At 42.2% G+C, this 23,134-nt stretch overlaps 1 protein-coding gene, 1 long non-coding RNA gene and 1 pseudogene across 5 annotated transcripts in view; all 3 read right to left on the minus strand.

Moving 5' to 3' along the window:
• Positions 1-23,134, minus strand: part of JAK1 (Janus kinase 1) — a 234,518-nt gene that overhangs the window by 146,129 nt on the left and 65,255 nt on the right. The gene's annotated exons all lie outside the window — the stretch shown is intronic.
• LINC01359 (long intergenic non-protein coding RNA 1359) lies at positions 220-23,119 on the minus strand. Its single transcript, NR_119383.1, has 7 exons — positions 22,972-23,119; positions 15,630-15,731; positions 11,941-12,084; positions 10,078-10,137; positions 7,906-8,316; positions 454-511; positions 220-375 (listed from the first exon to the last, which is right to left on the minus strand). It is a non-coding gene; the product is annotated as a long intergenic non-protein coding RNA 1359 (long non-coding RNA).
• On the minus strand, positions 3,425-6,751 carry SLC2A3P2 (solute carrier family 2 member 3 pseudogene 2; annotated as a pseudogene).

A 23,134-nucleotide genomic window follows, 5' to 3' on the forward strand; every position in this document is an offset into this window, starting at 1 on the left:
CATTGCACCCCAGAATGGGTGACAGAGTGAGACCTCACTTCTAAAAAAAAGAAATAAAATGAAATAAAAATAGAAAAGAATTAGATGTGACTTCTTCCCAAGTTCTAATATTCTCTTATTCTGCTAGGAGAGTGATACATAGAAATTATATATTCTCAGAGGTCTATGGCATCCAACACTTTAAGTCAATTCAGCAAATACTTACTCAGTACAAGTATGTGCCAAGCACTGTGTTAATTTTTTATAACATGATGCAGGATACATATGATCAGTAACAATCAACTGATCAGCTACATGTATAGGGTACTATACTAGGCCCTTGGCAGGGGTGGCCACTCTTCCTGTAGTGTGTAGAGGAAAAGGCAAGACATCCATCTGAAAAATAGATAATCAAGCATCAAATGGCTGATACAGACATAAATGTCATAAGATTTCAGAGACAGGAAACATTACCGAAAATCCAGATAGACTTCATGGGGCTTGTGAAATGTGAACCGAACCGTGAAGGACACTGAAAAAGAGGCAGGAAAGTGTCAGGCCTATTTAATTGGCATTTATATCCTTCCCAGAATTGTTAAGATTAGGTTTATTTTTGTGTCTGAAATGCACGTGTATTGTCTTCCCTCAATTTTAGGTACCACGACAGCAGAAACCATGTATAATACAATATTTATATTGATTCAGCATGACAGATATTTGTAGAGCATCTACTATACGTCAGACACTGTACTAAGTAAGCTTTGGAGGGGAGGGAAAGGTCAAGAAGGAAAGAGAAAAGACTTGGAGATAAAACTCAGAAGTCAGATGAGACCTGTTTGTTGCTGAAAGATCTGGGTAAACTTGGTTTGAACTCTCAACACGGTGCCTGGACTGTGGAAGTGTAAAGCCCTTTCAAGAGTGAGGTAACTTCTGGAGGGACACTTCCACCTCCTCATTCTACTCTGTTTTGCACCATGTTACAATGAAGGCACTCACACAAAGCTCCCTGGGTTTGGCAGCCATCCCTGAAGATGTAGGTAGGTAGGAATCACAGCTCTGCTGCCCTGGTGGCTGCTTTCTCCATTTTCCCTCTGCCCTCCCTCCTTTTGCCCTCGCGTTCTCCATTGCAGATTGCCCCCCAAAATTTCCAAAACCTCCCTGCAGTATGCACAGCAAGTTGACCCTCCTCTAACAGCTGGATCCTTGGTCTCAATTTTCTTTTTTTTTTTTAAACTCTTTTTTTATATATATATATACTTTAAGTTTTAGGGTACATGTGCACAACGTGCCGGTTTGTCACATATGTATACATGTGCCATGTTGGTGTGCTGCACCCATTAACTCGTCATTTACATTAGGTATACCTCCTAATGCTATCCCACCCTCCTCCCCCTACCCCACGACAGGCCCTGGTGTGTGATGTTCCCCTTCCTGTGTCCGAGAGTTCTCATTGTTCAGTTCCCACCTATGGAGTGAGAACATGCGGTGTTTGGTTTTTTGTCCTTGCGATAGTTTGCTGAGAATGATGGTTTCCAGCTTCATCCATGTCCCTACAAAGGACATGAACTCATCATTTTTTATGGCTGCATAGTATTCCATGGTGTATATGTGCCACATTTTCTTAATCCAGTCTATCATTGTTGGGCATCAATTTTCTACCTCAAGCATTTTCCAACCTATTTATTCTATTACACCTAATTTCTCAACTGATTTTTTCCAAGCCTAGATGCTTCTATTTTCAGGAAGAAATATGGCACCAGCTGTAAAACAATGGCGATATTGTCTCCACCTTGTTACACAGAGATAAGTGCCCTGGTAACTCTAAGAGAAACCCACAGGGCTATGAAGGGACAGAAAGAGAAAGTACAGGAAATGAGTCAGGAAGGGTTTTTTGGACCTTTCTAAGTGATCTCTCTCTCTGTCCTGAATTCACACAGTATTTATTGCCTACATCATTCCTTGGAAACGTGTCTTTTAATGCCTTCTATTGCTGTTTGTCTTTCCTTCTGTTGGTGCTATATCTCCTTGACCAGATGTTTTGCAGTTCCAGTACGGCAGGCTTTTCCCTTCACCCCTGGAACGCTCGTGGCACCTGGCCCAGTGCCTCCAGGGTAAAATGGGCCTCACTGATTGGTCTGTTGAGCCTCAACCTGTGGGAGCTTTATGATTTGCCTAGTTTCACAAGACCTTCCCTAAATTTTCCTAAAAATGCCACATGGCAGGTGTTTGTTTCAATTAAAATAAATTAAAATATCTCTAAGAATGCACTGAGTATTTAATCAATTTGCTTGAGATGGCTGGAGATGTCCACTCAAATTCCAGCAATGAGGACCTGGAAAGGACTAACATGTATTTAAGTACCCTTACCTCCCAGCCATCTGCTTTCATTCTCAAAATCACCTTTTGAGGTGAGATTAGGTGATTTGCCAGTGTTTACACTATTACACAGCAGGAACTGAAGTTTTAACAGGGCACACCTAGCTTCAAAGCTCCTGTTCTTTTCACTGTCTCACACTCCAGGATAATAATGCCCCTTTAGAGATATTCAAATTTTCATCATCACTAAGAAGAGCACTTATCCACTAGGATGCAAACTAAACAAACTATCCCAACAGTTAGTGTCCTGGAGATGTAAAAAGAAAGTTGACTCCATGAACTTGAACAAGTGGCTTCACCTTTCCGAGCTTCCAGTTACTTATCTGTACATATACAATTCTACAGAGTTGATGTCAACACTAAGTTAAATAACACACACACACACACACGCACACACACACGCACACACACGCACACACACACACATACAACCAGGGAAGCAGTCTTTCTGTTGGCTGAAAAAGATCAACTGTATTCTTTGAAGATTTCGAGTGTTAAGTTAAAATCCTCCTTCCTTTTACAGAGTGTAAAATGGGAGCTGACACTCAGGTCTGACATTCAGATGAGTTGGGCAGGTGTCTTTTAACTGAGTTAACGCATTATGTGATTTGGGAGGGGCATTAGCTGACTCACACAAGAGCAGATTAACCATTACCCCAACATCACACAGCAGCAGCCACAGTCCGGGAGGTAAATTGGCACCACCATCCATATTCTTTGAAGCCCTTCTCCACAGTAACTACCATTGCCCCTCAAACAGGGCCCTTTCAGATTATTGCAATCAGCCCAGGTAGGAGGTAAAAGGGTTGAAGGTATGACCATTATAAAATACGAGGAAGTTCTCTGGGGGAGGATTTGGGGGAATGGAACCACTCTCCCCAGTCCCTTAATGACACCAAGTCCTGCTGGCTTATGTCTCTAAGACCACAGGCTTGGCAGTGAATGAGAGCTGAGTTTTAGCTCTGCTTCATCCTAGTTGTGTGGCTGTGAGTAGTACATTACTACTTTAAATCTCAGTTTTTTAATCTGTAAAATGGGAGTGATAATATTTTCTGTCTTTTTTTTTCATGTGTACATTCAGAATTTTTATCTTAAAACAAAGAAGCACCAGAGTAACATTAATAAGAGAAAATCCATATGAAAATATTCACAGTCTGGTCAGTGAGAAATGAGAAAACAACTTCCCTGCCTTACTGTCCACCCGCTGTTTGAGGAGCCAGAAGTAGAGGTGAAGTTGGAAGAAGGTCACCTTTTCCAGCTAAACCCCACTGCTATGTGCATTTTTATTCGACGCCTCAACAACCAGAGGGAACAGTGAGAACTGAGAACCAAAATACTGTTCAAGCATTTTACTTTAGCAAGCATTCAGCTAAAGGGTCTGAGATGTGTAAGCACCAAGAAGGGAAAGGGAGATCCAGCAACATAGGAAAAAGGGGGCTGTGGGAATAAACACAGAGCAAATAAGTCAACAATAACCTACTTCCACCCAGAGCAAAGTGACAGTGCACATACATTCATACTCTCAAGTATGGGCTACACTGCACACTGACTCATACTATCTCAAACATGGCCTATTGGAAAGATTCAATCCCCCTAAGGGCACTCGGCACAGGACCACGGTGGTCATGGTAACAGACATAGACAAGCATGCCGTGACCCTGAAGCAACAACACACGTTAGATAATAATCGTTCAGAAAAAAATCTTCTCCCAGAGCTGAGGCTACAAATTCCAAGTCAGCTATAAACATTCTTTCTGGAATTCCTTTAAAGATATGGGTCAAAGTAAAACAAAAATCAACACCTAAAATCTCCTAAAGAACAAAATGGAGAAATGACGAACCTCTACCAAGAACCAATTATTTTAGGTTTCTCATTTGGATGGCTCTACCACCAGATGGGTGGTGGGGTTACTTAAAAAGTAATGAGTCTACTACAAGGGGAAGGAGTTGTTTGGTCCAGTGAGAAGGAACAGGCTTTCTAGAAATAACTTTCCCTGCCCTGGACTCCATCCAAAATTAGAACCCATCAACTGCCATTAACTACAATGCCCATCTTGGTTAATAATCCTGGACTTCAAGTAATACTACATATAAACTATAATTTTAAAGAAAAAAGTTCCAAAAGAAATCAGTAGCTTTATTATATAGGCATATGACTTTTCTGAGAAATTAAACTTAAGAGTTTCCACCTGAAGGACAGAAATTGTTAAGAGGTAATGTGCAGATCTCAGGCACCACATCATTTACCCTCCAATAATTAACTACATTTCTCCCTAAATTCTCCTTATTGCACCTTAACCGCTCCAGCATCAAATCTTCTACTCTATAACCTCTTTTAAACACCTCCTTTTAACCTCAGTTTCCTTATGTTTTCATTATTTGGCAAAATTACACTTAAAACATAATATTTATGTAATTAAACCAGGAGGTAAAAATAAATAAAACTCAAGTTAATTTGCTGTGTACAGCTGTATGGAAGTGAGGAAGGTGCTCTTACATAAACCCTGTCTGCCTTCCCACAGTGTGTGTGTATCTGCTTCCTGGTAAGTCTGCGGTTGGGGGAACTGCACCTTACTTTTCCTCCCCTATATCCCCTAGAGGGCAATATTAGAACCCAAGGGAGAAGAGCTGGCAAAGTTGTCGTATCCCAAGTGGTCAATCCCTCCTGAAATGAAGGGTAGGTTCACTTGGTCTCTCCTACGCAGAAGAGAATGTCCAAGAAATGAAATATTTTAAAAGCCATTGAAAATTCAACAAGCTCCAGTCTTGTTGAGGGAGAAAGGAATCAAGTAGCAGCATTCAGAAGCAGCCCTGGGTTCATCCTTATGAGGTCTCTCCCTCATTCAGGGAGGTGGCTTTCCCTTGCTGGGAGGGAGGTTGAAGGAGGCATGATTTAGACATTGGTGGTGGTCTCCTTAGCAGGCTGGATACTGTTCATCTCCATGACACAGTCCTTCCAGATCTATTTGCATCGTGTGCCTGCCCCTCAAAGGCCTATGTGATATCCTTGAAAGTCCTGTAACACATCTCAGGGACTTTGAAGAAGGTAAAGATCAAGAAGGTAATGAGGAAGTCGGTGAAGATAATAAAAACGTAGGCTCCTAAATAGTAAGCAGCAGAAGGGAAAAGCAATCTGACTAGGAAGTTGGAGGTCCAGGTGGAGCAGCCGGCCACTGCCATCACAGCTGGGCCAGGGCCCTGGCTGAAGAGTTCAGCCACAATAAACCAGGGAATGTGGTCTGGCCCAATTTCAAAGAAGACCACAAAGACCAAGATAGCCCCAATACAGACAAAGCTTATCCCATTACACTCATCCTTCAATAACAAACAAACAGACATGAGGATGGAACAAAAAGCCATCCCTCCAAGGCCTATCATATGTAGAGTCCTTCTTACTGCCCTTTCCACTAGAAATAGGGAAACTATAGTGAAGATAGTATTAACCACACCCACACCAATGGTGACACAGATGGGCTCTTGAACACCTGCACCCTTAAAGATTCCTGTTGAGTAATAGAACACAGTATTGATTACAGAGAGCTGCTGAGAGAGCTGGAGCATGATGGAAATGATGATGGGCTGTCGGTAGCTGGATACTCTAAAGAGCTCCAGCACAGTGACTTGCTTTTCTTGTGCCATCCTTGCACTCTCATCTTTCATCTCCTGGATGTCTTGGGATACATCCTGGGTGCCCCACAACCACTGGAGGATCTCCTTAGCATTCTCCTCTTCTTTTCTGTTAATGAGCAAGAATCTGGGACTTTCAGGGCAAAAAGGAAGGGCTGCACTTTGTAGCATAGCAGGAGAGATGGGAAAGCCTAATAGCACAGGCCATAGGTCTTCAGACCCCAGGATGAATTCCAGATCAAAGATCTGGGCCACCAGAATTCCAACAACAATGCCCAGCTGGTTGAGAGTGCCAAAGACACCTTGCAGGCCAATAGGTGAGATGTCTCCGATGTACGTGGGCACAAAACCTGTGCAGAGTCTGCAGAAGAGGCCAATAACCAAGTAGGCCAGGATCAGTATTTCAACCAACTCAGCTACTTTACACAGTCCCATAAGGCAGCCACCAGTGGCAGCCAACAGGTTGACAGTAAGCATTGAATTACGCCTGTCAAAGCTGTTGACAAACAGTCCAACAGAAAAGGAGCTAATCATACAACCAATGGAGAATATGGCCATAGACAAGCACCAAAGGGACAAGCACAACATCTCAGAGGGAGGGGTATTTGCCTTGTCCTTCAAAGTGTTGATAAATTCCCTTATGATCATCTCAGGAGCATTGATGACCCCAGTGTTGTAGCCAAATTGGAAAGAGCCGATTGTAGCAATTGTGATGGCGAAGATCAGAGATGGGGTGACCTTCTATGTCCCCCATGGCCTCAATCTAATTGTTTTTTTTTTTTTTGGACAGAGTTTCACTCTTGTTGCTCAGCCTGGAGTGCAGTGGGGCGATCTCAGCTCACTGCAACCTCTGCCTCCCGGGTTCAGGCGATTCTCCTGCCTCAGCCTCCCAAATAGCTGGCATTATAGGTGTGCACAACCACACCCTGTTAATTTTTTGTATTTTTAGTAGAGATAGGGTTTCAAGATGTTAGCCAGGCTGGTCTCGAACTCCTGACTTCAGGTGACTCACCCACCTCGGCCTCCCAAAGTGCTGGGATTACAGGTGTGAGCCACTGTACCTGGCCCCTAATCTAATTCTTTTCAAGTCTTTAAGAAAGATCTAGGAGTGTGATTCCAGAGACACCTTTTTCAACCAATGAAACCTTCAAAATTTCCTTCTCGGCAGCAAGTTTTCTCCAGGTCCTCAGGAATGCTCTAAAACTCTCACCATTACAGCATCTCCTATTTTCTATCTTCTAAAGTTGTTGTGAAGATTAAGTTAAATAATAAGCTGGGTGCAGTGGCTCATGTCTGTAATCCCAGCACTTTGGAGGGCTGAGGCAAGAAGATCACTTGAGCCCAGGTGTTATTCAAGACCAGCCTGGGAAACAGAGAGAGACCGTCTCTACAAAAAAATGGTGTTGCATGCCTGTAGTCCCAGCTACTTGGGAGGCTGAGGTGGGAGGCTTGAGCCCAGGAGGTCAAGGCTGCAGTGAGCCATGATTGTGCCACTGCCCTCCAGCCTGGGTGACAGAGTGAGACACTGCCCAACAGCCACCCCCCACCCAAAAAAAAAATATAAAGCACTTAGTACAGTATCTGGCATATTGTAAGCTCTTTATAAAGTTGATTATTATTTTATTATTAGCAGGGACCAAGGCCTTAACGTTGTAAGATGCAGGGAAATAACAAAAGGAAAGAAAGGCTCCCTGTTGCTGAAGCAGCCATTGCCACAGTCAGGTGCACAAGGTCTAGCACAATTTGGCTCCCAGCCAATCTTACCCTACGGTTACCTGCACGCACTCCCTGAAAACTTCCTTAGTTCCTCAAGGTAGGCAGAATTCCTCCTTTAGTTTCCCAGAGTACTTTGCATGTACTTTTCTACTTTCCCTTATCACAATCCATTCTATTTTGCTTGCATATCTATTCACTCTACCCTACCTTATCCCAGGCTGTGAGTTTATGGACAGCAGGAACCAAGCAGTCATCCTTGTATTTGCAGCCATAGGCATTCTGTAAGTATTGGATGAGGATGGAAGGATAGATGGATAGACAGACAGATAAGGAACATGGGATAACTAGTGACTTGGTAAAGGATTAGGCCTGGGTACCCAGGAGACCAATTAAAACAGTCATTGCTTCACAAGCTTCTCTAAGGCTGGATCTGAACAGAAGTGCAAAGGGCATGACATTTGAAGAATTGTTTGCCTGGTGTGGATGGTTAGGCAATCTACATGTGCCTTCAAGGGAAAAGCATGGCTAGTTGGTGACTGCTGACAAAGTTGGTATCAGGCAGAACACCTTGGCAACCAGAAGCCAAGGCAGGATGATGCCTCTAAGTCTTCCTGCAGCCTGAAAAGTTAATAGATTAGTCAATTAGAAGCAAGTCCTTTGAAGTGTGGTCAGTTTCAGGCAGACTTGTGGACAATGACTATTCTCTCTGTGATTGTGTTCACTGTAAACAATGATGCAAGACCTAAAGATAGAAAGGGGATGTGAAATGTTGTTCTCACAGAAGATGGACTGTCTGGAGATAACATTTCCAAGTACCTAGAGTATAAAGTATTTTATAACATAGGGCAATATAGAGGGAGATGCTGTATCTTGACTTTTCAGAAACCATTCTTATTTTATTCATTTTGTTCAAAGCAATTGAAGATGATAATATTTATTGATTGATCACTTATTGTGTACCTCATACTTTTTAAGAAAGTGATATGCTAGAGTTGGCCTTCCCTGGCTCATGAGAGTCAATTATGTGTGTGTTTTCTCAAGCCGCATTAGAAGATTTTACACTGGCATCTTAAATTCGGCCATATCAGGAATATTTACACCATGGAAACTGGCAAACACTAAAAATCAGGGTTTTCAGTCCCATCCCTTCTGAGAGCTGCTTGTCAAATATTTACTGCACACTACTGATTTTACAATAAATGATCCTAATTAGCCCTTCCCATATTCCTACTTTACAGATGAGAAATTGAAGTTTAGAGATTAAATAATTCACTTATTACAAACTTTTTGGTGGCACAGGCAGGATTAAAATTCAGACCATCTGTCTCCAAAGTTCATTCATTTAACCATTTAATTATTTTAAGATTTCAAACTCTACTTAGGTCAGCAAAATGGCAGAGTAGGCAGCCCCAAGCTCCTGTCCCCCCCATAGAAACTCAAAAAACAAGCAGAATCTGTCAGAATTAACTTCTTCAGACTCTGGAAAAAAGTCAGAGGCTTACAGCCACCAAGTGGATGCTGAATTAAGAAAAATAAAAAATGGGCCAGTTGCAGTGGTGGCTCATGCCTGTAATCCCAGCATTTTGGGAGGTCAAGACAAGAGGATCTCTTGAGCCCAGGAGTTTCAGACTAGCCTGGGAAACACAGTGAGACCCTGCCTCTATAAAAAATAAAAAAATAAAAATCAGCCAGGCCTGGTGGTGCATGCCTGTAGTCCCAACTACTGGGGAGGCTGAAGTGGGAGGATCATTTGAGCCTGGGAAGTCAAGGCTGCAGTGAACTATGATCTTGACACTGCACTGAAGCCTGGGTGAAAGAGTGAGCCCCTAACTAAAATAAATAAAATTTAAAAATATATATATATGTATGTATGTGTATATATATATGTATGTGTATATATATGTATGTATGTATATATATATGTATATGTGTGTGTGTGTGTGTGTGTATATATATATATATATATATATATATAAAATACAGAGATAAGGCTGGGCATGGTGGCTCACGCCTGTAATCCCAGCACTTTGGGAGGCCAAGGTGGGTGGATCATGAGGTCAGGAGTTCAAGACCAGCCTGGCCAACATGGTCAAACCCCATCTCTACTAAAAATACAAAAATTTGCTGGGTGTGGTGGCACGTGCCTGTAATCCCAGCTACTCCGGAGGCTGAGGCAGGAGAATTGTTTGAACCTGGGAGGCAGAGGCTGCAGTGAGCCAAGATCATGCCACTGCACTCCAGCCTGGGCGACAAAGAGAGACTCCATCTCAAATAAATAAATAAATAAATAAATAAATAAATAAATAAATAAATAAAATAAACTCAAAAATGGTAGGAAAGTTTTGTGGCATTTTTATTTGCTGTTATTCCACACCTTACCTTGCAATGGTCCTGAAGACAGCAGCCCATACTGTCGGCATGGGAGTGGGGTCCCTGGTTCTAGAGGGAGCAAAGCAGACCTTATTTGCAAATTATTGTGTAGATCGGTTTTAACCTGTCTGTACGTGAAGGACTGGCACAAAATGCTCACCTCTGTTTGCCTAACTCTGAACTAACCCAGATTGGAAAAGCAGCAGGCATTGCTTGAATCATCATAAGGTAGAAGAACAAGGCCTGAGGCAAAAGGTCACAGTTGAGACATGCAATAAACCACCTAAGGCTTGGGCAAAAAATTTGAGAACAGAGTTTCTTTGGGAAGTTAGGACAATCAGAAGCACCTGTGAATGCAGGGAATTTAGCCAGCCATGCATGTGCCCAGGGCAAGATGCTTGCTCAGAAAAGACATGATTAAAAACTTCAGGTTTCATCACAGCTGATTCCTAAGCTCAGTGAAAGCCTGGCTAAGTGTTGAAGGAGGGCCCCAGTACACGCCCAATTGGCAAAAACTGAGAAAAGTATTTTTGTTTGTTTGTTTGTTTTGTTTTTTAGCTCTTGACATTCAGGTAAAATTCTGTCAAAGCACTCACTGAAGGCCAGGCGTGGTGGCTCACGCCTATAATCCCAGTACTTTGGGAGGCTGAGGCAGGCAGATCACTTGCGGTCAGGAGTTCGAGGCCAGCCCGGACAACATGGTGAAACCCCATCTCTACTAAAAATACAAAATTTAGCTGGGTGTGGTGGCATGTGCCTGCAATCTTAGCTACACAGGAGGCTGAGGCAGGAGAATTGCTTGAACCTGGGAGATTGCAGTGAGCTGACATCAGGCCAGTTCACTCCAGCCTGGGCAACAGAGCAAAAACTCTGTCTCAAAAACAAACAAACAAACAAAAAAACCCCACTCACTGAATACAAGCTAAGGGACAGAGACTTCAGCAACCACACATGACAAAGAAAAGTCTCTGCAAAAATAGGAAAAGTTACTAGAACAAGACTATTACAGGTCTCAACAATGAAAACAAAAACAACCACACACACAAAAAAATAAATAAAATAAAACAGTAAACCCCAAAGAAGGAGAAGAATCTTATTTTCAGAGTTGCCACAATATACTATTCAAAAGTCCAGTTTTCAAAAACAACAACAAAAAAAATCACAAGAAGGTACACAAAGAAACAGGAAAGTATACTTCAATAAAAGAAAATATGGGCCAGGCACGGTCGCTCACGCCTGTAATCCCAGCACTTTGGCAGGCAGAGGCAGGCGGATTGCCTGAGATCAGGAGTTCGAAATCAGCCTGGGCAACATGGTAAAACCCCATCTCTACTAAAATACAAAAAATTAGCCGGCAGTGGTAGCATGTGCCTGTAGTCCCAGCTACTTGGAGGCTGAGGCAGGAGAATTGCTTGAACCTGGGAGGCAGGGTTGCAGTGACCTGAGATTGCACCACTGCATTCCAGCCTGGGCGACAGAGCGAGACTCCGTCTCAAAAAAAAAAAAAAAAAAAAGAAAAGAAGAAAAAAAAAAAGAAAAGAAGCTGACAAAAACCACGTGTGAGGAAGCCCAGATATTGAACTTATTAGACAAAAACTTTAAAACAATGCTCTTAAATATGCTCAAAGAGCTAAAGGAAAATGTGGACATAAAACTAAAGAAAATCAGGAAAATAGTGTATGAACAAAATGAGAACACCAGTACAAAGATAGAAGTTATGAAAAGGAACCAAACAGAAGTTTTGGAGCAGAAAAGTAGTAGAATAACTGAAATGAAAAAAACCACTAGAGGGGTTTGTATTAGTTTGCTAGGGCTACCATAACAAAATATAACAGACTGAGTGGCTTGAACAACAAAAATATATTTTCTCACAGTTCTGGAAGCTGGAAGTCCAAGATCAAGATGCTGGCAGGGTTGGTTTCCTCTGTGGCCTCTTTCCTTGGCTTGTAGATTGCTGCTCTCTTGCTACCTCTTCACATGGTCGTACTTCTGTGCATGCACACTGTGATATTTCTTCTTCTTATACAGAAACCAATCATATTGGATTAAGGCCCTAACCTAGCCATTTAAATCTAATTGTCTCAAACTAAATAATTACATGTATTTTAATTTAATTAGTTTGATCACCAGGAATGCAGATGCCTGCTTTCAAAACTGCTATTCAACATCCTACTGAAAATTCTAGCCAGAGCAAGTTGACAGGAAGCAGAAAGAAAGAGCATCCAAATGGGAAAGAAAGAAGTAAAACTGTATCTCTACGACCAAAGAATCTACAAGAAACCTACTTGAACTAATAAATGAATTCAACAAAGTTGCAGGTTATAAAATCAACACACAAAAATCAGTTGTCTATACATCAGCAGTGGATATTTGAAAAGGAAATAAAGCAATTCTATCTGCATTACAATCGCATCAAAAAGTATAAGATACTTAGGAATAAATTTATCCAAAGAAGTAAATATTATACACTGAAAACTGTAAAAACATTGCTGAAAGAGATTAATGAAGAAATAAATAAATTAGAAGTTACCCACATTCATAAACTGGAAGACTTAGTATTGTTAAGATGACAATACCCAAAACAATGTACAGATTCAACACAATCCCTATAAAAATCCCAATAGCTTTTTTGCTCAATGGAAAAAGCATATCCTCAAATTCATATGTGATTGTGGCCAGGCGCATTGGTTCACACCAAAATCTCAGCACTTTGGGAGGCCGAGGCGGGCGTATCCCCTGAGGTCAGGAGTTCGAGATCAGCCTGGCCAACGTCGTGAAAGCCCGCCTCTACTAAAAATACAAGAATTAGCTGGACATGGTGGCTCACGTCTGTAGTCCAAGCTACTCAGGAGGCTGAGGCACAAGAATCACTTGAACCCGGGAGGTGGAGCTTGCAGTGAGCTGAGATCATGCAACCGCACTCCAGCCTGGGCAACAGAGTGAGAGTCGGTCTCAAAAAATAAAAAATAAAAAATTCATATGGGATTGCAAGGGACCTGAAATAGCCAAAACAATCTTGAAAAAAAAGTCAGGGCTGGAGGACTCACACTTCTGATTTCAAAATGGTTCAAGAAACACCTCCCTAAATGGTTCAAGAAACAAAGGTGTGGCATCCCAACTTCCTGAAGCTGACTGTTCCCCAAGTGTCAGGCCACAAAGACTGAGTCTCCTTAAAAGATTTAGGCCAGGCGCGGTGGCTCACGCCTGTAATCCCAGCACGTTGGGAGGCCGAGGCGGGCGAATCATGAGGTCAGGAGATCGAGACCATCCTGGCTAACATGGTGAAACCCCATCTCTACCAAAAATACAAAAAATTGGCCCACCATGGTGGCAGGTGCCTGTAGTCCCAGCTACTCGGGAGGCTGAGGCAGGAGAATGGCAGGAATCCAGGAGGTGGAGCTTGCAGTGAGCCAAGATTGCACCACTGCACTCCAGCCTGGGCGACAGAGCGAGATTCCGAGATTCTGTCTCAAAAAAAAAAAAAAAAAAAAAGATTTAGTCCAGCCCTTATGAGCTTATCCTCTAATGTCCCCTGTACTTATATTCCTTCTTGGTGTTTTTCTTAAGTTTGGGAAAATGTTTGATTAACTAGTTGGCCTTTTCACAATTATCCTGAAGCTTAAAGGTATTATTGGTGGACCAGGACTTTCTTGTTGAAGTGAGAATGCAGAACATAATCTCTTCTTGTACTACTCTACAGACCTGCCCACACATCAAGGGAAAAGGGAACGCTCATTGTTCTTTTGTTTTGGGAGACTGGACACAATGTTGCATACATGTTTTAAAGTCGACTTTTAAAATTTACTTTATAAAACCGTGTATGGTAGTGGTTAAGAGTTGGGGCACTGGTGTCCTATATTCATTCTTGGCTCTGTCCTCTCCTGTGTGCCATGGACGTCTCTCCCCTTCTCTGGGTATTGATTTTCCCTGCTGTAGAGAGGATAACACCTACCTCAGAGGATTATATGAATGAGAGAAGGTATGAGAAGTACCAGTACAGTGCCCTACACAGTGTAGGTGCTCAAGAAAGTTAGCCTGTTAGTTACCTAACTTATTATAGAACATCCATGAACCGCCAAAGGTCTTCTCCTCTCCATGAAATTTTGTCCAGTGAACAGTCCATGATGATTTCTCTTTTGTCTACAGTCCTGTAATCCTTGATGAAAATACAACTTATGCTTTAGCCATTTTATTTTATTTTTATTTTTATTTTTATTTATTTATGTATTTATTTATTTTGAGAGAAGTCTGGCTCTGTCGCCCAGGCTAAAGTACAGTGGTGTGATCTTGGTTCACTGCAATCTCTGCCTCCCAGGTTCAAGCGATTCTCCTCCCTCAGCCTCCCAAGTAGCTGGGATTACAGGCGCCCACCATCACGCCCGGCTAATTTTTGTATTTTTCAGTAGAGATGGGGTTTCGCCATGTTGGCCAGGCTGGTCTTGAACTCCTGGCCTCAGGTGATCCACCCACTTCGGCCTCCCAAAGTGCTGGGATTACAGGCATGTGCCACCGCACCTGGCACCTTATTTTTTTGAGACAAGGTCTCTCTCTGGTGCCCAGACTGGAGTGCAGTGGTGTAATCACAGTTTACTACAGCCTCAACCTCCTAGGCTCAGGTGATCCTCCCACCTCAGCCTTCTGAGTAGCTGAGACTAGAGACACACACCACCATGCCCAGCTAATTTTTGTATTTTTTGTAGAGACAGGTTTTGGCCATGTTGCCCAGGCTGGTCTCAAACTCTTGGGCTCAAGTAATCCGCCTTCCTTGGCCTTCCAAAGTGCTGGGATTGCAGTCATAAGCCACTGCACCTGATCTGTAGCCATTTCATATTGTACACAAACTTTCATCAAATAAACATTAAGTCATTTGAGAGTAGTGGCAATGTTGTGCACTGTTGCAGCCCCCAGCGCCTGATGCAGCCACACATGTAATGAGCCCGGAAGGAACATATCTTAGTTTTATGTGGCTGTAAACAAAATACCTGAGACTGGATAATTTACAAAGAACAGAGATTTATTTCATACAGTTCTGGAGGCTGGGATGTCAGTGTCGAGGGCTCTTCTGCTGCATCTTACCATGACAGAAAGTGGAAGGGCAAGACAGCATGCATAAGAGATGAAAAGCACAGTCTCAGCCCTTTTACAGTCAGTATTAATCTATTCTTGAGGGCGGAGCTCTCTTGACCCAAACACCTCTGATTAGGCTCCATTTCCCAACACTGCCGCATTCAGGATTACATTTTCAACACATGCTTTTTTGGGGCACACATTCAAACCGCAACAGAACACATTTTAATTGAATGGCCGAGAAGTGATTTGGAGCCCAGGATAAAGCACTGGATTTGTCATTAAAAGATTGAAGTTCTAGCCTTGGTTCTCATATGGGTGGGCTTTGTGACACTGGACAAGAAACTTCAAGGCAACTCTCATAATCAGTCTCTAAATTAGGATAATAGGGCTGCCCTACCCACTTTCAGGAAGAATTACAGTAAGACGTGACACCATACATGTGAAAGTATTTGGTAATTCCTAAACTGCAAAAAAAAAAAAAAAAAACCTACCCAGAATCCAGCAGGATTGTACCTTGAATCTATATAAGCAACCAAATTCTCCTCGTGTTGTCTTTATTTTAGGCTGTTGATAAATGTTCCATAATTCTGGTGCTATAAAAAGGCAGAATAAAGGAAGATAAAACCTGTTGGCTGCTAATCATTTACAATCAGATCATTGACTCAACCAATTAACCAATTACACTTAAAGTTAAAGCCCATTTGCAACCTACTGCCAGGATTAGGAGATTGATAGATTTTTAGCACAAAGGCTTAGGCTCAAAACTCCCATTAGCAGTAATGGGAACTATGCCCATTAGGCCCATCGAGAGATGAGAGTTGAATGCGATCTATAATCTATCTTGCTTAATGTCATCAGTTTCCCTATAGCCCCTTCAAACAATCAGACGCCACTGAATGCCCTAAACGGAACTAATAGCATTGAATTAGGAGAATATTAACAGTCTATTTCAGTGAGGCCTTCCAACACAATAAGCCTGTAGGTATTTCAAAATCTTGACATGCCTGTGCACGTTTTTTGTTTGTTTGTTTACTTAAGGAGGAAGGTAATCCTTTAATAATGCGAAAATACTGAAAGAGGATAATTTACATGACTGTATCAGACAAACTATTTCCCCTAATACTTGAGCTTTTTGTTATATAAAAAGTGATCAGTTGAGCCTTATACAGATTACAAAATCATTCACATTGCCTTCAGTTTATAAGAAATGAAGAAACCAAAAGAAAAATGATATTGGCCTTTTGTTTTGTTTTGTTTTTGAAACAGGGGTCTCTCTCTGTCACTCAGGCTGGAGTGCAGTGGCATGATCATGGCTCACTGCAGCCTCAACCTCCCTACTCTCAGGTGATCCTCCCACCTCAGCCTCCTGAGTAGCCGGGACTACAGCTGTGCGCCACCCCACCCAGCTAATTTTTATATTTTTTGTGGAGATGAGGTTTTGCCATATTGTCTAGGCTGGCCTTGAACTCCTTGGCTCAGGCAATCCACCCACCCATTTCGGCCATTGAAAGTGCTGGGATTATAGGCCTGAGCCACTGCGCCTGGCTGACATTGGGCTCTTTTTTTTTCTTTCCTTCAAAATAATCATTGAAGATACTCTTTAGACAGTCACAAAACATAATGCTTGGTTAAAATTTTCCCAACCACATAAGCACAAAATATAATTTCTCCCTTATTCTTACCCCACATGCATTATCAACTCCTATCACATCATCTTTTAAATACTTGATATCTGCCCTTTTCCTTCTAGTGCCATCATGCCCACCCTAGTTAAGGCTCCTTTAAAGCAGACTCAGACTGAGCCAATGACTTTCTAGTTGCTCTTCTTTAAATCTCTTGACACTTCAATCCAGTGTGCACATTCTGTAATGCATAGAATGTAAAATTTTTGAGAGCAGAAACTATGTCCTATATTTCCCCATATTATAGATACAGTGATATTTCCCGAATTAAAAATGTAGACACATAATCTGATAATTACATTTGTAGAGAAAAAGAAACAAATCTAAAATTGGACTTTTCCTTCCACATTTGTGGTTATTGTATCTAACAGATACATTCTAACAAAATGCATTCTGCATCATATAAATACAATACACATGGGTTGATTGGTGGGTTAATTGCTTAGTCTGTTTAGAAGAGAGATTGTAAACTTATACAGATCAAATATGACCTGCGGTGATTTTTTCCCAGCACATTAAAACATTTTTTAAACTGTTTGCCAACACTTAAAAATTGCTGAATTCACATAAAAATCAGGCTACACTTGAGAAATCTGAAGAACACCGGATTTTTAGACATCAGCTCAAGCTGAAGCTCGCCTAAGACAGGAAAATCTAACAAAGCTGCAAACCCCAAAGGGGCTGCACTTCCAGTGCAATGATGAACAGGAAAGAAACCTGCTGCACAGAAAGGAGCAAGGAAACTTGCCCATCTGTACCTTGGCATTTGGTAGAGGAAATATGTATATTTCCTCTTTCAATAATTTATATCCACAGTTGATACTGTCATACACATGGGTTTGCAGGTCAAGTCACCCACTTACATAGTTAAAAACAAAAACAAACAAAAAATCAAGGAGAGAGATTAATTTGGTCCTGAGTAAGTAGTTAACCCCAGGCAACTAGTAAAAGTAAACACAAATAATCTCTGAATGAAGGTAACGTCAATCTATGCCTCAAGTAATTTCTACGGATAAAATCCAAGGAATATAAACCCAGAGTCAAAATCCACAAAACATAAAAGTAAACGGCACAATGGGTAAAAACTAGAAGGAGGAGATGGTAAAAATCATACATGCAGTCTTCAAATGTAGAATGACAAGACATAGAATATAAAATAAGAATGTTTAATATTAACTCACATGACAAATATTATTTGAATACCTTCTATTTGCCAGGTATTGTTCTAAGCCTTAAGGATAAAGTGGCTAACAAAATAAACACCCTTGCTTTAAAGAAGTTTACATTTTAAGAAGGGGTGACAAATTACTTAATAAAAGATGTAGGATGGTAGGTGGTTAAAAAAAATCTAGAAGAGAGATACAGAGTATTATAATATAGGATATTTCACTGTCCTTAGAGCCACGCTGGGATTAGCTTTGGGTATGAGAGATAACCTAGGGGTCCTGGACTTTTTGTGTGACTGACATAAACAAGGACAACGGCATAATGGGTTTATAATGGTTGCAGAGAATGGTGGTATGAGTGTGGGAGTGTGGGGCTGTCGGGGACTGTTGTGGGGAGGAGTCTCTTCTCCAGAACATACAGAGTCCTGGGCCTCCCTCTTCATTCTTGACAATGCTTATGTGAAGGATAGAGAAGGAATGTTCTTCTCCAAGGCACAGGTTACCCCAGGGATCCCTCTTGTTTCCTGCTGATGGAAGCCCAGAGCCACAAGACGAGACAGCCTCTCATCTTATCTTTAAAACTTTTGTTTCAAGAAATAAAAGCCTGTAAATATGGTGAAGAAACAAATGACTATACAAACTTTTCCAAACAGATCTGAAATAGAACTTCTAGAAATAGAACAAAAAGATAGAAATTAAAAAGTCAAACAAGTTAAAAAGAAGATTGGATACAGCTGGAGAAAAAACTCATGAACTGGAAGTCAGATCCTAAAAAACTGTCCTAAATGCAGTCCAAAGAGTATGAAGAGATGCAAAATATGAAAGAGAGATTACAAGACTTGGATTATATATTAGAATGTCTAATACACATGTAATCACAATTCTCCAAAGAGATAGAGAAAATGAGGGAGAGGAAATAGTAAAAGAGACAACAGCTGGGAATTTCCAAGCATTGTTGAAAGTAATTACCATACTTACATGGTCACAGCAGGCATTTGAGTTTTTAACCCTTTGTACAAGTTTTTCTTAAGCTACCGTCCAGAAAAATGTCTTTCATTGAGTACTACTTTATAGTTTACAAAAGGCTTTCACATACTAAAATCTATGTAACATGTTTTTAGACTCATTGAAAGTCTTGGATTTGTTTTCCTATTACAACAGGAAACTGAAGTAATCTCTGGCCGTAAGATTAGTATTAAAGCCATTCTCTTTTAAGTGGAAAAAGAGAAGAGGATGTTGATATGGTTTGGCTGTGTCCCCACCCAAATCTCATCTTGAATTCCCATGTGTCATGGGAGGAACCCAGTGATAATTAAATCATGGGGGCGGGTCTTTTCCATGCTATTCTTGTGATAGTGAATAAGTCTCAGGAGATCTGATGGTTTTAAAAATGGGAGTTTCCCTGCACAAGCTCTCTCTTTGCCTGCTGCCGTCCATGTAAGATGTGACTTGTTCCTCCTTGCCTTCCACCATGATTGTGAGGCCTCCCCAGCCATGTGGAACTTTGAGACCAACTAAAACTTCTTCCTTTTGTAAATTGCCCAGTTTCAGGTATGTCTTTATCAGCCACGTGAAAATGGACTAATACAGATGTTTAGGACCAAACTTAACTAACAATAACTACAGCACTTAAGTATGATGAACATGGTAGTAAATTTGATTCATTTTTCTGCAGTTTTCATTTCAATACTCATTTGGGATATTTCCCTTGTAAATCTTCCTATCTTTTGTTTTCTCTCCTCAGGAATGATTTTTGGGGTCCACAGAAGACAGTGCCCTTCACTGGGTTAAGTGATGAGATCTAATTTCATCATGACCTTGAAGGCTCTATAAATCACTTTCTCCTGTTGCTATGTGAACAAAGTCCAAACCTTCTCAGCATGACATAATAGGCTGTTTCTTTGCCATATGTCACTGCCCTCCTTCTCAGCTCTACTCTCAGTGCAAGCACATAAGATAACTCACATGTGTTCATTTATTTGAACACATACCTGGGCACCTTGTTTCTGTATAGGACATTCCCCTTGGCTCTCTCTTTGCCTTTCTCATCCTTCCTCAGTACTCCCCATTAACTTCCTCTCACTTCTCAATCTGTTGGTCTCAAGAAAGTCAGGCTGGGTGCAAAGGCTCATGGCTGTAATCCTAGCACTTTAGGAGGCCAAAGTGGGAGGATGGCTTGAGCCCAGGAGCTCGAGACCAGCCTGGGCAACATAGGGAGACTCCATCTCTACAATAGAAAAAATTAACTGGGTGTGGTGGCACATGCCTGTGGTCCCAGCTTCTTGGGAGGCTGAAGCAGGAGGATCACTTAAGCCAGGGAGGTCAAGGCTGCAGTGAGCCATGATCACACCATTGCACTCCAGCCTGGGCAACAGAGTGAGACCCTCTCTTTAAAAAAAAAAAAAAAAAAAGTCTACTGGTTCTTCAGGATCCTCCCCAAACTGGGTGGGCACCTGGCTGCCCAAAGCTTTCTCTAACAGTATCTACGGCACCTTGAACTACAGTGTATTTTTTTCAGGTCTGTGCTATAATGTATCCATCTCTATATTCTGGCATGTCTGGCATGTGATGGGCACTCAAGCAATTTTTGGTAAATAAACATTATAGAAAGTCTGGGAAAATACTGGGGGTTGGGGGAGAGAATCATAAGTTTTTTTTTTTTTTTTAAGATGGAGTCTCACTCTGTCAACAGGCTGGAGTGCAGTGGCACGATCTTGGGTCACTGCAACCTCTGACTCCCTGGTTCAAGCGATTCTCCTCCCTCAGCCTCCCGAGTAGCTGGGATTACAGGCATGTGTCACCATGCCCAGCTAATTTTGTATTTTTAGTAGAGACGGGTTTTACCATGTTGGGCAGGATGGTCTTGATCTTCTGACCTCATGATCCGCCCGCCTTGGCCATCGTAAGTCTTAAAAGATCATTGTAGGGCAATCCTTATTCCTGAACCCAGCAATACCACTTCCAGAAAATCTACCCATGCAAATAATTGAGAATGTGTTCAGGTATAGTTACAGCCTGGCAAGATGAGTCCTGCCTGTAATCCCAGATACTTGGGAGGCTGAGGTGGGAGGATCACCTGAGTCCAGGAGGTCAAGGCTGCAGTGAGCCATGATTGTGCCACTGCACTACAGCTTGGGTGAGAGAGACCCCATCTCTTAAAAAAAAAAAAAATAACTACAAAGCTGCACACTCCAGTCCTGTTTAAATAGCAATACTTCCGGACACAATTTTTAAGTTATTCAATAGGGCTTTGGTTAAATAAATGTACAATGGAATACGAAGTAGTGATTTAAAAACACGTATGGAAAATATTTTTCCATGATATTTGATTCAAAGGAAAAAGGTGACAAAGCATTGTGTTCGATGTGATTACATATAATGCTATACATCAGATTGTTAACAGTGGTTTTCTGGGTGGTGGGATTTCCATTTATTTTCTGATTCTGGAAAAAATCTGATTTTTCTGCAATGAATAATAATTATTTTTGTGATTTTTAAAAAGGAGGGTTTTTTTTTTGGTGGGGGGGCGGTTGGATTTTTGTTTTGTTTTGTTTTTGAGATGGGGTCTCACTCTGTGGCCCAGGCTGGAGTGCGGTGGCGCCATGGAAGTTTTTGTTTCTAAAGGGTCCTTTCCTTTGGAGCTCCAACTCTACTAAGAGGCCATTCATATTCCCAACATTCCAGGGTGCCCAAAGGAAAGACCTGGCCAGTTATTTCAGCATCAATTCACAAAATGGGGCGTTGGAAGGGGAAAAACAGCTGCTCTAGTTGGGCAGTGATTATTAAACCCCTCCCAAAAATGGAGTGGACAATTTCCAAGATCTCATCATGTTAGAAAACTTTCATTCGCCGATTTCACTTTTCAAGTGAATCCTAAAGCCTGTTTCCTTAATCTTCATAATTTTGGACATTCCACAGCCCGACCCACGCGTTTATCTTTCACTGGGCTGCAGTGATTCCCCTTGTTACCAAAAGGGGCCCAGCCTCCGCCAGCAGAGGCCTCCTGCGGAGCTGGGGGCGGGACCTCTGGGCTGGGTCCCCCTCTCCCTGTGCGCTGGCTGGCGGCGAGTGCAGTGACTGATTTCCTCTGCTCGCCTTCCCGGAGGTCCCCACCCACGCCACTGCCAACGCTCGGAGGAAGTCACGTTCAGGCCCCAGAGCTGGTCTGAATCTTCCAGGAGGAAAAGAGGGGGTGCATGTGTGCGTGTGTGTGTGGTAGTGTGTGTGTTGTATGTCTAAGAGGTAGCAAGTGTGTTTGTGTGCGTGATATGTGTGTTTGAGAGGCAGCAAATGTGTGTGTTGTATGTGTGTTTGAGAGGTAGAAAGTGTGTGTGTGGGGGGGGGGGTATGTGTGCCTGAAAGGCAGCAAGTGTGTGTGCGTGTGGTATGTGTGTTTGAGGGGCAGCAAGTGTTTGAGTGTGAGTGTGTGGTATGTGTGTTTGAGGGGTAGCAGGAACCCTAGCTTGGTGTCTGTCAGTAACTAGATGGTGATGCAGGTAAGTGATTTTCCCGTTGAGTGGATTAAATTCCTAGTCTGTCAGAGAGGGTGTTGACCTAGAATGACTGCGCAGGTCTCCTGTCCAGTGTTAAGGAGCGTGAGTGCCCTGATGTCCCCAGGAGTGCTGCAAAAAGAGCAAAATGGCATATATCAGGCGTCCCCGAGATGCTGGCATCTATGTTAAAACTATCTTATTTCATCTTCCAACTACTCCTTACAATAGGTGCCCTGATCCCAATACAAGATTGAAAACTGAGGCTCAGAGTCTGCGGTATGCTGTCCAATATGTATGTATACACAAACACACACACGTATATACGTATGTTTGTGTGTATATACGTATGTGTATATATGCACATATATGGGTGTGTATGTATATATTTTACAGCCCATTTGGGCAAATGAGTGAGCCCCAGCCAGAAGCAAGCGCCCCCGCTGCCCCTGGGCAGTGGGCTCGGTACCGCCACGCACCCGTCCTATGTGTTACCTGGTCGCTGCTCACTGGAGTGAAAGCCATTTAGTGGCTGATCCAAGGGAAGTATGAGCTAGTGGCATGTCGAGACAAACCTGGATTTGATTCGCAGCTCTGCCTTCTGTTTGACTACAAGCAAGTAACAAGCTTTTGGAGCCTGTTTCCTCACTTCTAAGTG

Source organism: Homo sapiens, chromosome 1 (assembly GCF_000001405.40).
Source record: "Homo sapiens chromosome 1, GRCh38.p14 Primary Assembly".
Classification (NCBI taxonomy): Eukaryota; Metazoa; Chordata; class Mammalia; order Primates; family Hominidae; genus Homo; species Homo sapiens.